Genomic DNA, 15,061 nt, shown 5'->3' on the forward strand with positions numbered 1-15,061 from the left:
CTTATACATGGCATAACTAGGATACGAACTCACATTTTCTGCCTCCAATTCTATACTCTCCACAACATTCTGACTACCTCTCATAAAATGACCAGGCACAGTGGCTCATGCCTGTAATCCCAGCACTTTGGGAGGCCGAGGTGGGCGGATCACTTGAGGTCAGGAGTTCGTGACCAGCCTGACCAACATGGTGAAACCTCATGCCTACTAAAAATACAAAATTAGCTGGGTGTAGTGGCAGGCACCTGTAATCCCAGCTACTGGGGAGGCTGAGGCAGGAGAATTGCTTGAACCTGAGAGGCTGAGGTTGCAGTGAGTGGAGATCGTGCCTGGGCAATACAGTGAGACTGTGTCTCAAAAAAACAAAATTACCAAGTATATCTTACATAGAAAATGAGATCTACATTATGGATTTCTGCTTTGTGACAGTGCCTAGGAATGCACGGTGGTTAAAAAAAAAAAAATCTGCTGGCTGGGCGCGGCGGCTCACGTCTGTAATCCCAGCACTTTGGGAGGCCGAGGTAGGCTGATCACCTGAGGTCAGGAATTCAAGAACAGCCTGGCCAACACAGCAAAACCCTGTCTCTACTAAAAATACATGGTGGCGGGTGCCTGTAATCCCAGCTACTTGGGAGGGTGAAGCAGGAGAATCACTTGAACCCAGGAGGCGGAGGTTGCAGTGAGCTGAGATCGCGCCATTGCACTCCAGCCTGGGCGACATAGCAAGGCTGTCTCAGAAATATATATATTTTTGTGTATATATATATGCTTACATTTTAATAAAATTAAGTTTCTTCCTTTCTTTTGCCTTGGAGAAAAAATATACACATAAAGCTGGGCGCGGTGGCTCACGCCTGTAATCCCACACTTTGGGAGGCTGAGGCGGGTGGATCATTTGATGTCAGGAGTTCAAGACCAGCCTGGCAACATGGTGAAACCCTGTCTCTACTAAAAATATAAAAATTACACGGGCATGGTGGCGCGCGCCTGTAGTCCCAGCTACTCCAGAGGCCAAGGCAGAAGAACTGCTTGAACCCAGGAGGTGGAGGTTGCAGTGAGCCAAGATCGTGCCACTGCATTCCAGCCTGGGCGACAGAGCAAGACCCTACCTCAGAAAAAAAAAAAAAGAGAAGAAAAGAAAAGAAAAAATATACACATAAAATAATGCAAGCAAAAACAGGCCAGGCGCAGCAATGGCTCAGACCTGTAATCCCAGCACTTTGGAAAGCCAAGGCAGGGGATCACTTGAGGCCAGGAGTTCAAGACCAGCCTGGGTAACACAGTGAGGCCCCATGTCTACAAAAAATAAAAAAATTAGCTGGGCACGGTGATGGATGTTTGTAACCCAGCTATTCAGAAGGCTGAGGCGGGAGGATCACTTGAGCCCAGTTCAAGATCGCAGTGAGCTCTGATTGTGCCACTGCACTGCAGCCTGGGTGACAGAGACCCTGTCACAAAAATAATAATACAAGCAAAAACGATAAATACTCATAATCCAACCCACACTTAACACACCAATCACCTCCTTTCTTTTCTATGGTCACATTTTAGATATGTTTATTCTTTATATCCCACCTTTTTCCAAAAACATGACTGATAGCTGGTAAACAGACACTTACGTTAAGTCATGGTTGTTGCAATCCTCTTTCATCACATCAGTAAGAGATGAAAAAGACTAATAATTTTAAAATGTAAGGTTCATAATAGAAATTCTGAAAGGAAAACTACAGGGCCCAATCTAGGCTTTTCCTAATTTCTTATATCTGCATTTATGGCACCACGTAATAAAAATAATATCTGTCACAGATCAAAAATGATAAATACTTATTGGCTGAACAAATTAAACAGCCGCTCCAAAGCACTACAAGATCCTAAATCAAAGACTCAATTTGTTTGAAAGCTGCTTTATTTTAAAGCTATAGTAATCAAGACAGCATAGTGTTAAAACAAATAAACTTAAAGGGTAGAATCATAAAGAAAACACAGGAGAGTCCAGAAATAGAATTCTATGTATACTGTCAACTGATTTGTTTGTTTGTTTGTTTTGAGACAGAATCTCGCTCTGTCGCCCAGGCTGGAGTGCAGTGGCACAATCTCAGCTCACTGCAACCTCCACCTCCTGGGTTCAAGTGATTCTCTTGCCTCAGCCTCCCGAGTAGCTGGGATGACAGGCACCTGCCACACACCTGGCTAATTTTTTATTTTTAGTAGAGACGGGGTTTTGCCATGTTGGCCAGGCTGGTCTAGAACTCCTGACCTCATGTGAGCCTCCTGCCTCGGCCTCCCAAAGAATAGGCATGAGCAACCGCACCTGGCCTGTCAACTGATTTTCTACCAAGGTGCCAAGACAATTCAATGGAGGAAACAAAAGTATTTTCAACAAATAGGGCTACAAAAATAGAATATCCATATGAAAAAAAAATCATGACACTTACTTCTCACAGCATATTAAAAAATTAACTTGAAAATAAGTTTAAATGTATGAGTTAAAATTATAAATAATGCAGAAGAAAACACAGAGAAAATCTTTAGAACTCTGGGTTAGAAAAAGACTTAGGACTCAAAAAACATGAACCACAAAAGAAAAACACTGATAAACAGGTTTCATCAGCATTCAAAACTTCTTCTCTTTGGGACATCTTTTGGGGGGCGGTGGGGGAGCTACAGTCCGGGAGAAAATATTTGCAAAGTATATATCTCATAAAAGGCTTATATCCAGAATACATAAAGAATTCTCAAAACTCAATAAGAAAACAATCCAATTTTAAAACATGAACAAAAGATTTGGATATTCACCAAAGATTATATGGACAATAAATAAGTCCATTAAAATGTGCTTAAAACTGTAGGTTATTAAGGAAGTAAAAATTAAAGTACCATGAAATATCTGTACCTACCAATTAGAATGGCTAAAATCAAAGACAGTATCAAGTGCTGACTAGGATGAGGAACTACTGAAACTCATACAATGCTGGTAGAAATGCAAAATGGTACAACTTTGAAAAAAAAAAAATTTTTTTTTTTGAGACAGAGTCACCCACACTAGAATGCAGTGGTGTGAGCACAGCACCGCAGCCTTAACTTCCCAGGCCCAATCAATCCTCCATCAGCTTCTCAGGTAGCTGATACTACAGGCACAGGCCACACCCGACCAATTTCTGTATTTTTTGTAGAGACGGAGTTTTGCCATGTTGCCCAGGCTGGTCTCAAACTCCTGGGCTCAAGCAATCCGCCCAGCAGATTTTTAAAAAGTTAAAATGCATACTTTCTGTATGATGCAACAATCCCACTCATTTACCCAAGGGCAAGAAAAACATGTTCACAAAGAGCCATGTACTCAAATGTTTATTCGTAATGGCCAAAAACTGGAAACAACAAATGTCTGCAGATATTTATAAATGGATAAACAAATTGGTGTACAATGCAGTATTCCTCAGGAATGAAAAGGAACAAAGTACTGATACCCAGCATGAATGGATCTCAAAAGCATTACGCTAAAAGAAGCCTCACCCAAAAGACTGCAGACAGTATGATTCCATTTACTCAAAATCCTAGAAAAGGCAAAATTATAGTGACCGAAAACAGATCAGTGGTTGACAAGTTCTCGGTATTGAAGAAGACAACTGGCTACAAAGAGGTAAGAGAAAATGTTTTGGGAAGAAACTTTTTGGGAAGAAATGGGAAGAACATTGCATGATTGCAATCATCCACGTGGTAATTCCTCCCTAAAAATGAATCATCGAGGTTTATTTAAAAATTTAAACTTTATGTCTGCTACCAATTTTTGTACAAAACCAAACCAAACTGCCAAACTTCAGATTATCTGTTGACACTTTTTAATATAATATCAAATGTGGTTTTAAAAAAGGTAGCCAATGCCATCAGAAGCTATTCTAAAACAGAGTTGGTCTGAAACTATTCTTGTTCAGAAGACTGCTCGTATTTAAAAAATTTTTAATGAAATAAAATTTCTCACTTTGTTCAACTACTTATATGTTGGAGAGAAATCCGAGAGAAAAGAAAAATTTTAAGTGTTAACATTCAACTGTAACAAGTACCAAACACTGACACCTAGAAAACCAGCCATCAGCTGGGTGCGGTGGCTCATGCCTGTAATCCCAGCACTTTGGGAGGCCGAGGCAAGCGGATCACCTGAGGTCAGGAGTTTGAGACCAGCCTGACCAACATGGAGAAACCCCATCTCTACTAAAAATACAGAATTAGCCGGGCGCGGTGGCACATGCCTATAATCCCAGCTATTCAGGAGGCTGAGGCAGGAGAATCGCTTGAACCCAGGAGGCAGAGGTTGCAGTGAGCCGAGATGGCGCCATCGCACTCCAGCCTGGGCAACAAGAGCAAAACTCAGTATCAAAAAATAATAATAATAAATAAATAAATATAGAGATGAGGTCTCACTATGTTGCCCAGGCTGGTCTCGAACTCCTGGGCTCAAGTGATCCTCCCATCTTGGCCTCCCAAAGTGCTGGGATAACAGGCGTGAGTCACCACACCCAGCCAAAATTCTTCTAATCAAGCAAAATACATATAACTGCATTCCTAAATACAAGCAATAACTAGGATTAGAAAACACAACGTAAATCACACAAATATAAATTATCTGAAATTAAATTCAAACACAGGAAGAAAATTATAAAGCTATCCTGAACAATATGGGCCAAAGCTTAAATAAATGTAAAAAACATATCATGTTCCTGGGTGAGAAAACTAAATAAACTTAGATACTTCTTTTTCCCAAAGTAAAGCAATTCTAATGACAATCCCAATGAAATGTCTTTTTTTTTTTTTTTTTTTTTTTTTTGGAGACACAGTTTCACTCTGTCGCCCAGGCTGGAGTGCAGTGGCATGATCTCGCCTGCAACCTCCACCTCCCAGGTTCAAGCGATTCTTGTGACTCAGCCTCCCCAGTAGCTAGGATTACAAGTATGTGCCACCACACTCAACTAATTTTTGTATTATTAGTAGAGACAGGGTTTCACCATGTTGGCCAGGCTGGTCTCAAACTCCTGACCTTAGATGATCCACCATCCTCAGCCTCCCCAAAGTCCAAGGATTACAACCGTGAGCCACCATGCCCGGCCCCAATGAAACTTCTTATTAAACTTAACAAGTTTAATATTTATGTGGAAGAAAAAAATAAGACTACCAAAACAAATGAAAAGAAATTGGGAGGCCAAGGTGGGCAGATCACTTGAGGTCAGGAGTTCGAGACCAATCTGACCAACATGGTGTAAACCCATCTCCACCCAAAAAAAATACAAAAAAAAATTAGCTGGGAGTGGTGGCATGCACCTGTAATCCCAGCTACTAGGGAGGTTGAGGCAGGAGAATCACTTGAACCCAGGGGTCAGAGGCTCCAGTGAGCCAAGATCACGCCACTGTACTCTAGCCTGAGTGACAGAGTGAGACTCCGTCTCTTTAAAAAACTGGCCTAGTGAGAATACTAAACTAAATTATAAAGCTACAATAAAAAAAACAGTATGGCACTGAACAAGAGCTATATCTGACTCTATAACTAATATAACTGAAAAGATACTACATCACTGTGGAAAGGAAGAATTGGTTAATAAATAATGACAAGATGGCTAAATAGCAATTGCAGGGGAAATAGTTTATTAAACCATTTTTTAAAAACATTAAATATAATGTACTTATTTATCAAACTTCTTGGAGAATAAGTTCTTCCAAGTATAGAATAGGAAAAACAAAACAAAAGTTGGACAGATTTTGACTCCTAAGATAACACATTTCTACATGTCCAAACAATGAACAATATTAAAAGACAAATAATTCATCATGGAAATGTTTGTAGCAAATATGACAACAGGTTAATATATTTGTAAGTCTCAGGTAGATCAATAAGAAAAACACTAAGGCTCTAACATAACTAGGACAAGGCCAAACAAGTCAATGAAAATAAATATCATTAGTAAACAGACAGGAAAATATTCTGCTTCACGAATGTTTAAATGGCACATGCCATGAAATTAGCAAAAAATGTAAAATGCAATTAGCTTATACTTATAACAGAATAGTAAAAAGGGACATCTTTATTTACTGCTGCTCTAAATAGGTCCAACTCTTGTAAGAAGCAGCCTAAAGGAAAAATTACTCATGAAACCTTAAAAATATCCACACACTTGAACTCAGTAACACTATTTTTATGGAAGCATCCTAAAAAAAAAGAATCCTTAAAAAAAAAATCAAAGTTACCTACACCAAGATGTTTACAGCAATTATTTGTAATAAAAAATTTGGAAATAAACATTCAAACAAAAAAATCTGAACGATGGTTGCTGTTGAATCTGCTTAACCAGTTATCCTAAAACCAGTCTTCATGGTTCCCATTCCAGTCCATCCTCCATACTGCTCCCAGATTGTGTCTAAACAGCAAATATATTAAAGCTTAAAATCCTGCAATGGTTCCCCCCACCTTAAAAAAAATGAACATCTTGGCAAACTACAGTAAGGTCCAAACTAGGTTGGTCCCTGTCTAGAGCCTCACCTCTTGCCACTCATACCCAATGCATTAGCCATAAAGAACACATGCAGAACTATTCGGAAGTATTTATAGCTCTCCAGCATTCATTAAATAAAATGCCAAAAAGGTCTTAATCCATACTCACACAAGGATGCTGGCTTCATGGCACTTAAAGCATAGGAACAATAAACGCCTACCAGTGGGTTAGGTCTGGTACTAGAAGAGCTTCTTAGAGTCATAGAGGACAGTTCAACTCAGGTCAGGGAAAGTTCTAGGGATAACAGTAATCTTTGAGTTGAGCCTTAAAAGATGGGCAAGTATTGCTAGGGGCGAGGGCATTCATAATTATACTGAGTCATGAATAAAACATTAAGTTCTACTAAGTATGGTCTATTTGAAAAGAGGAGGACATATTACGTCTTTAAGACTCTCACCAAAAAAGGCTCAAATAGGCCAGGCATGGTGGCTCACACCTGTAATCCCAGCACTTTGGAAGGCTGAGGCAGGAGGATCTCCTGAGCACAGAAGTTCAAGACCAGCCTGGGCAACCTGGAGAAACCCCATCTGTACTGGAAAAAAAAAAAAAAGGTAAAAAAATCAGCCAGTCACAGTGGCATGGACCTGTAGTCCCAGCCAGTTGGGAAGCCAAGGTGGGAAAATCACCTGAGCCGGGAGGTCAAGGCTGCAGTAAGCCGGGATTGCTCACTGCACGCTGTTGCCACTGCACTCCAGTGTGGGCAACAGAATGAGATTCTGCCTCAAAAAAAAAAAAGGCTAAAATAAAAATCTTGTATGCCTAAGCATGACCCTTCATTTATCTTTAAAACTGAGTTATGTTAAATGAGATGTTAGTATGTTGTGATAGTAATAGCTCAACCAACAAGAAAAAAGTAAAAGTGATGACTAAAATACACAGACTTTATTACGAATACCAAACTACAAAAAGGACCTTGGCATGTTCTACTGCCTGCCTGAAGAGGGTCAGACTAGAAGACAGAATTTAAAAGAAAAGGAAGGAGCTCAACTACACTGGCTTCCTCCTCAGAAACCAAGAAAATAAAACAAATTGGGGACATTCAAATCACTAACACCTCTAGTATATAAAGTCATTATGGGCCGGGTGCCGTGGCTCATGCCTGTAATCCCAGCACACTGGAAGGCTAAGGCGGGCGGATCACCTGAGGTCCAGAGTTTGAGACCAGCCTGGCCAACGTGGCAAAACCCGTCTCTACTAAAAATACAAAAAAAACCAGCCAGGCGTGGTGGTGGGCGCCTGTAATCCCACCTACTCGGGAGGCTGAGGCAGGAGAATCACTTGAACCCGGGAGGTGGAGGTTGCAGTGGGCCGAGATCAAGCCCTTCAACTCCAGTCAAGAGTGAAACTCCAACTCAAAAAATAAATAAATAAAGTCATTATGATGTATAGGCATACTTAAAAACCTGTGAAATAGAATTAAGCTACAATTTTTAAAGCCTTGAATCGATAAAATATGTAGTGAAACAAGATTAAGACGCTAGCATATCTAAAGGGAAATTTTTAAAGTTAAACTTCCTTACATTATAGACAAGGTTAACCTCCTTATTGCCAAGGGCTTTGAAATTAATAACATGAGAAGCAGCATACAAAAACATTAAATGTATAAAAAGGTCTGAAACAAATGTTCTGGAGGAGTAATCTTATTCTGCTTCTCCATACCTAAGAATTTAAAATATTAGAAATTACACTAAACTGCTTTTTCCAGCCTTTGGTTTTCAGAAACAATAATGGTATAAAAAATTATCCCAAAGTTTTTACTGTAAAGAATATTTTTCTATCCAAACCATTGAAAGAAAAGCCTGTATCAGATATAAGTATAATGATATAGACATTATACATTTTGTAATCAATGTTATAGAAACAGTAGTTGAAGTTGATAGTGTTACCATACAGCCCATTTCAATGATCATATGTTAATGTGTCATAAAGAACAGAAGTAGCTTGATGGATGAAATCAGATTCTAACCCCCAACTGCCTGAGGAATCTAAAATTTGGGATCAAATTATTAAATTAGCCCCACCTTCTTAGCATTGACAAATACCAAACAGTTCACTGATTGTGGTTTTAAGAATAATATGTGGAAAGGTTTAATATCAATTGTGGGCAGAGATCTCATGGCTTAAATATTTCCTCTTCTTCAGAGAGAGTGTGTATGAGTGTGTGAGTGTGTGTGTGTGAGTGTGTGCATCACCATGTAAGAAATGTTTATACCTTTCAGCAAAGGGGCAATTCCACAATAAAGTTATTATCAAGTAACTAAAGTTTATACAGCATCTTGAAATCAAAGGTACTCTATAAATTTAAAATACTAATATGGTATTAACTTAAAGCAAAGAACAATAATTTTAAAACACCTTATAGCCCAAGTGTATTGTAAACCAAATATAAATTCACTGTGGGATCTGTCTTTTTTTAAGTGATTTTTTTTCCTCTATTAGGCAACCCAGATCTAAATGAACTGTTAAACACTTAGTCTAAAGGTATGCCAAACATTTCTTAAGGTCTTCACAAAGAATCAACTTTTTTTTTTTTTTTTTTTTTAAACAAAATGAGGCCTAGGTTAAATATTTTATTTGGCTTCTCAAGATGGACTGAGAAGTTGGGCACCAGCTCCAGACCAATTCCTGGACGCACATCAAACACAGCCCTGTCATTTATCCAGTCAGTCAAAACAATCTTTTCCATCTAACCCTTTAATGTTTATGTCCTAAAAAGCTGCTAATTGAATCCAGCTCTTGAGATCTATTTGCTAAAATCTATACCATCTAATTTATAAATGATGAACAAAAATGGAAGAAAAAATATGTTAACTTTCCTGGCAAAACAGAAGAGACTCCACTGTAACCAAAGAAGGAAGGACAATGTTTTTAATATTTGTCAAATTTTAAGAGAAAACTATTCAGAGACAAATAGTTGTAAGAAACTCAGAGTACCTCAAACTGTTTTTACTATTAAGAGGACACAGGGTATTTAAAATTCCTCAGAAAAACCTGAAACAAAATCACTATAAATGTAGTTCAATATTCCCCCTTCCCCTAAAATATAAGCATAATCTTTCCTCTTAATAAACTTTAATTATAAATTCTTATAATGTATCATAGGCAGTACGGAAACCACAGATAAACACTTTAAGATCTATTAAGTCATACTAAAAACCTCAACTAACCTTATCTGCAGAAAATCAAAAACCCAATTTTTTCCCTCATTTTCTCTACATAGCCCAGAGGAGGGTAAATGGAAACAGCCTATTTCTGATGCTTTCTGCACACCTGGGATCACATGTTCTTTCCACGATCACTGACTACAGACAGCAACAGCAACAGATAAACTCTAAAGCAACAAAGATCCCCTATAAAGGTTTCCACTGACTCCTCCCAATGTAAGGACACTGAATGAGGGGGGAGGGGGTGGAATACAAGTATCCTCCAATCCAGGTTTTCCATTAAGAATCACTCAGTTAATGATTCCCTGCAATTTTCCCTAGGGAAAGGAAAACTGCCATGAAAGTAATATATTATTTAAATTGCAGCCAACATACATTCAAGCTAAATTCTCAAATACCAAATTCACTGCAAGTTTTCATCCAGCAAGTTCAGCCAGTGGACTGGGATGTGACACACAGGCATTTAACTACAAAATTAGTCCAAATAAATCTCAAAGTCTAGTGTGGGCAAACATAATTACAGTTTATCCGTACACGTGCACGCACACACAAATCCTCTACGGAAAATTATCTTTCTCACCACTCACCCGAATACAAACGTGGACAATTTATCAGGGGTAAATGGTGAAGGTAGGATAACGCCGTGATTCCAATTCCTTTACAAACCAAATAAAAGTTCTCCTAAAACGGGGGTGGCATGTCCATGTAAGAATACCAAAAATGGCACTGTAAGCAAAACGTACCTGTAATGTTAAAGATTTCATGCACCTGGAATCATAAACACTTTGTAAGTGTAGTCTTCTATCTGGCAACCCCTCCGGACATTCTTTTCCATTTCGAAAAAGGAATGGGGAGGGTGGGGAGAGTAACAGAAAGTTTGCTCGAAAGTTTGTATGAGCACATACTTAGCAATGCACCCCCCCCAAAAAAGTGTGTTTTTAAAGCAGGTCTGGCGTTAGAAGTTAGACACAAGTTCTGCGGCCTAAAAGGAACAACCCCAAACATGCCACCCTACAATCAGACACTTCCAAAACACAGTGTACAATGAGCCCAAGCCGTCGGATCAGACAGGCACACCGGAAAAGTCAACCTGTCTCCTCACCTCAGAGACATGAGTTTAAGGTGTGTGGCCCGGGCAGCGGTGGCCGGCGGCGGGGAGTAAAGGTTTTTCATGCGGGCATAACTGGGTGTGTGCAAGGTAACAACCCGGGAACACACACGCACACCCTCCCGTTAAGCGCTCCATCTTTAAGGAGTGTTTACTGCGCGCAGTCAGCAACCGGATTCAATAATCCTCGCCACGGGAGCTCTTCATCCCCTTCACGATCTCACCTGGGCGGTAGCCCAGGGGCTGTTCCCCGAGCCCCGGGAGGCAGCGTCTGGCTCCTTGACCAAGACTTTCCGACCTGAAATCCGCCTGCGATGCGAACCGGTGTATTCTCCCCTCCACAAAACACCACCCCCCGCCCCGAGTCATCCTCGGCTTTTTAAACAATGTCCAAACCAGAGCAAGTGGTTTTCCAATTACTCTCCCTGAACTAGGCCTTCCCATTCCTCCGACCCCCAACTCATCATTGATCGCGACCCTGGCCCTTCCCAAGGCCACAGGCACCCCCCGCCAGCTCGCCCACCCCGCGGCTGCCCAGCCCGGCCCGCCGCCCCCCCTCACCTGTCAGGCGCAGCTTGACGGGCCCGTTCCTCCGGCCTCCGGGGTTAGACATGTCCCCGGCGGCGGGGGCGGCGGGGGCGGCGGGCGGCACGGGGGCGACGGCGAGGCGCGGCGGAGTCACCACAGCGGCCGGGGCTGGGGCCCGAGCAGCCGGCGCCTCGGCCGCCACGGCCGGAGGGTCCCGGATGTGCCGAGAGTCGTCGCCATGAGCCGCGGAGGGAGCGGGACGCCGAGCTCCCCCCTCCTCCCACTTCTCCTTCCTCGGCCCGGGCCGCACAACAAAGCGGCAGCCGCGGCCGCCCGCGCCGCCTCCGCCCGCGCCCCCGCCGCCTCCTCGCGGCCGCCGAGGCCTTTCCCTCCTCTCGTCTCGGCGAGGCCCAGTAGCCGACGGGGCTGGTCGGCTGAAGCGGGCGGTGCTCGGGGGCGCCGGAGCAGAACTCTGGGCTCGGCCGCTTCCTCCTCCACCCGCCCTCTTGTCTGAGGGACCCGGGACCTGGGGCCGCCGCCGCCACTCGTCGGCTCCGGGGGGCGGGGAGGAGACGGGAGGCGGGGCCGGCGGGGCGGGGCGGGGCCGGGGCGGGGCCGGCGGGCGCGCGCAGGGTGCCCTGGCGGGCACCGGCAGTCAGGGAGGGTGTGAGCTGCCGCCGAGGGTCCCACGCGGAACGCTGGGAGGGAGCAGGCAGGGAGCAAAGCGGCGGCGGGCGCGGCAGCTCTGTGGCACCTGGAGGGGTTTACTGTCCGGGCCACTTAAGGGAGAACTTTTGTCCAAGCAGGGCCAACTGCATTTTATTAGACGCCCACTGCGTGCAGGGCGCTCCGAGAGGCTGGGGCGAGGAAGGTTAGAACCGAGTCCGCTGCCTGCCGGGAACTTGGCGTCTTTCGGGCGAGGGAAGAGAAAGCATTCCCACGCCGATGGTTCCAGCAAAACCCCAGGAATGCTCTGCTCCTGGTCTTGTAGTTGACACCTCCATCCGGGACTCACCTGGTGGAGGAGATCAGGTTACCTGCCGACTCCCGCTCTTTTCAGGTGCAGCCAAGGATGGGGAGATGATACGTCTTAAAGGATTAACAAGATAAACCTTGGAGAGTAATGTATGAAGAGTTGTTCATACGCTACTGTATTTCGTTATCTCAGGAGGAGAAAGAGAAAAGTTTTTAAAAAATGTGTACCTTATCCTTTGACATTGTAACTGTACTGCTAGAAATTTATTTTTTATTTTTTTGTTTTTAGACAGGGTCTCCCTCTGTCGCCCAGGCTGGAGTGCAGTGGTGCGAACACGGCTCACTGCAGTCTCAACTTCCGGGGCTCAGGTGATCCTCCCACCTGAGCCTCTGGAGTAGCTGAGACCACAGTGTGCACCACTACGCCCCACTAATTTTTGTATTTTTAGTAGAGACATGTTTAGTAGAGACGTTTAGGTTTTCCCATGTTGCCCAGGCTGGTCACGAACTCCTGACCTCAAGCGATCAGCCCGCCTCGGCCTCCCAAAGTGCTGGGATTACAGACCTGAGCCACCGCACCGGCCCTATTCTTGACAAATAATCGTACAGAAGATGTTCTTTGCTATATTCCATTAATAACAAAAGGGGAATGAGGGAATAGCATAATAGTCCAGGAACCGCATGGTTTTTTATGCAGCCATGTAACTATTTTTATGAAGATCATATAATATGGAAGAATGTATATGTAATGCAAAGTTTAAAAACAGAATAGAAGTTGTATGCATATACATGCGAAAGTATCTAGCACAATGTAAACTACTAAGGACAATAGCGTGGGGGATTTTTTATGTGATTCGTTAGTTTTGCTTTAGGCTATTATAACATTAATGCAATTTTAAATGTTTTGGATTAATATATTTTAATCCTTATTCCATGCCAGTCATTTCTTTTAATACATCAGTGAACTCACTTCTCCAGATAGTTACCTGCGAGAACATTTCATCAGTTTGGATACAGCCCTACAATTAAAAGTAATCCAAAAAAGTATATGAAGTTCTAGACATCACACTAAAAATACCACAGATAGGCCGGGCACAGTGGCTCACGCCTGTAATTCCAACACTTTGGGAGGCCGAGGTGGGCGGATCATTTGAGGTCAGGAGTTTGAGACCAGCCTGGCCAACATGGTGAAACCCCGTCTGTACTAAAAAAAAATACAAAAAAATTAGCCGGGCCTGGTGGCGCATGCCTGTGGTCCCAGCAATTAGGGAGGCTGAGGCAAGAGAATCGCTTGAACACGGGAGGTTGCAGTGAGCCGAGATCACGCCACTGCACTTCAGCCTGGGTGACAGAGCGAGACTCCATATCAAAAATAAATACATAAATAAATAAAAATTAAAATACCAGAGATAGTGCCAGCAATTCATTCAACAAATATTAAGTGGCCATTTTGTGCAAAGCAATGAACAAGGTCCTTTAGAAATGCTTCCTTGTACTACAAATATATAGAAATCAATGTGAACAATAGCTGCTACCACAATTTAAGAGGGCAGACAGTGGCAAAAAACTTAGCAAACTAATGTACACATACACATTTGCCTTATTTTTACAGCACGCTTTGTTCCCAACCACCCAACTAACATAATTTGTAGCCTTGTATTAGGTAATAGAAGTTAGGATTTCAGAACGTCATGGGAGACCTGGGGGAGACTGCTTGTTTTGAAGTTGAAAGCAGTAAATTAAAAAATGTAAGTGACAGCATAGAAAAATGTATATAGGGTTAACGTGCAGAGGTTTGTATTTAGGCTTTCTTGTAAGGTTAAATCCTGTTGTTTAAAACAAATATTCAGATAAGAATAACACTAAAACCATTCAAGGGCTGGGCATGGTGACTCATGCCTGTAATCCTAGCACTTTGGGAGGCCGAGGCAGAGGAGTCACTTGAGCCCAGGAGTTTGAAACCAGCCTGGGCAACATGGCAAAACCCCGTATCTACAAAACATTAGCCAGGAGTGGTGGCCTGCACCTATAGGCCCAGCTACTCAGGAGGCTGAGATAGGATCACCTGAGCCTGTGGAGGTCAAGGTTGCAGTGAGCCGTGATCACACCACTGCATTCCAGTGCCACTGCATTCCATCCTGGGCAGCATACTGAGACTATCACAAAAATAAAAAGAAAATCAATGTACTGGTAATGATTTTTTTAAGCAGGTACATGGATGTTCATTTTATTGTTTTCCTTGCCATCTTAAATATTGACATTGACTGTAAACATTTATTTAAAAGTAACTAAATGTTTAAAATGAAGTAAAATAAATGAAAACATAGAACAGGGGCAGAGCGTGGTGGCTAACACCTGTAATCCCCACACTTCGGGAGACCAAGGTGGGAGGATCACTGGAGCCCAGGAGGTTGAGGCTGCAGTGAGCCATGATTATGCCATTGCACTCCAGCCTGGGCAACAGAGTAAGACCCTACCTCAAAAAACAAATGCACTCAAAAACAGAATACTCATAATAGGAAAGTCATTTTGAAGGCCTCTCTTAAGTGAGTGGCCTCATCTAGTCCAGGCTCAGATTTCAGAGACGATTGGGTTAGAAAGTTTAAAAAAACAAAAAAGTTTATGTGTTTCTCTTCCCTTGGGGATATGTTTATGTCCCCAAAGGGGGATATATATACATTATAATGACAACATGTAGGGAATTACCAAATTAATAGCCGGAACTTGGGAAAGATAAGACGGAAAATTAA

The 15,061-nt window shown here is 42.6% G+C and overlaps 1 protein-coding gene across 2 annotated transcripts in view, besides 3 other annotated features; it reads right to left on the reverse strand.

The window, feature by feature from the left end:
* Positions 1–11,848, reverse strand: part of SMURF2 (SMAD specific E3 ubiquitin protein ligase 2) — a 120,026-nt gene extending 108,178 nt beyond the window's left edge. For both annotated transcript variants that reach the window (XM_005257585.4, NM_022739.4), the window contains exon 1: positions 11,370–11,848. In XM_005257585.4, the coding sequence (XP_005257642.1) occupies positions 11,370–11,421 (52 nt within the window). In that variant the 5' untranslated portion in view covers positions 11,422–11,848. The remainder of the gene's footprint in view (positions 1–11,369) is intronic.
* Positions 11,342–11,541: a silencer, noted in NCBI's record as "silent region_8845". NCBI's record gives its function as "represses an Ori minimal core promoter by ATAC-STARR-seq in GM12878 lymphoblastoid cells {active_cell/tissue: GM12878}" and the evidence as "EXISTENCE:reporter gene assay evidence [ECO:0000049][PMID:35858748]".
* Positions 11,592–11,991: a silencer, noted in NCBI's record as "silent region_8846". NCBI's record gives its function as "represses an Ori minimal core promoter by ATAC-STARR-seq in GM12878 lymphoblastoid cells {active_cell/tissue: GM12878}" and the evidence as "EXISTENCE:reporter gene assay evidence [ECO:0000049][PMID:35858748]".
* Positions 12,142–12,700: an enhancer, noted in NCBI's record as "H3K27ac hESC enhancer chr17:62658719-62659277 (GRCh37/hg19 assembly coordinates)". NCBI's record gives its function as "activates a minimal SCP1, AML or CMV promoter by ChIP-STARR-seq in naive H9 embryonic stem cells {active_cell/tissue: H9 hESC(naive)}" and the evidence as "EXISTENCE:reporter gene assay evidence [ECO:0000049][PMID:30033119]".

This window comes from Homo sapiens, chromosome 17 (assembly GCF_000001405.40).
Source record: "Homo sapiens chromosome 17, GRCh38.p14 Primary Assembly".
Lineage (NCBI taxonomy): Eukaryota > Metazoa > Chordata > Mammalia > Primates > Hominidae > Homo > Homo sapiens.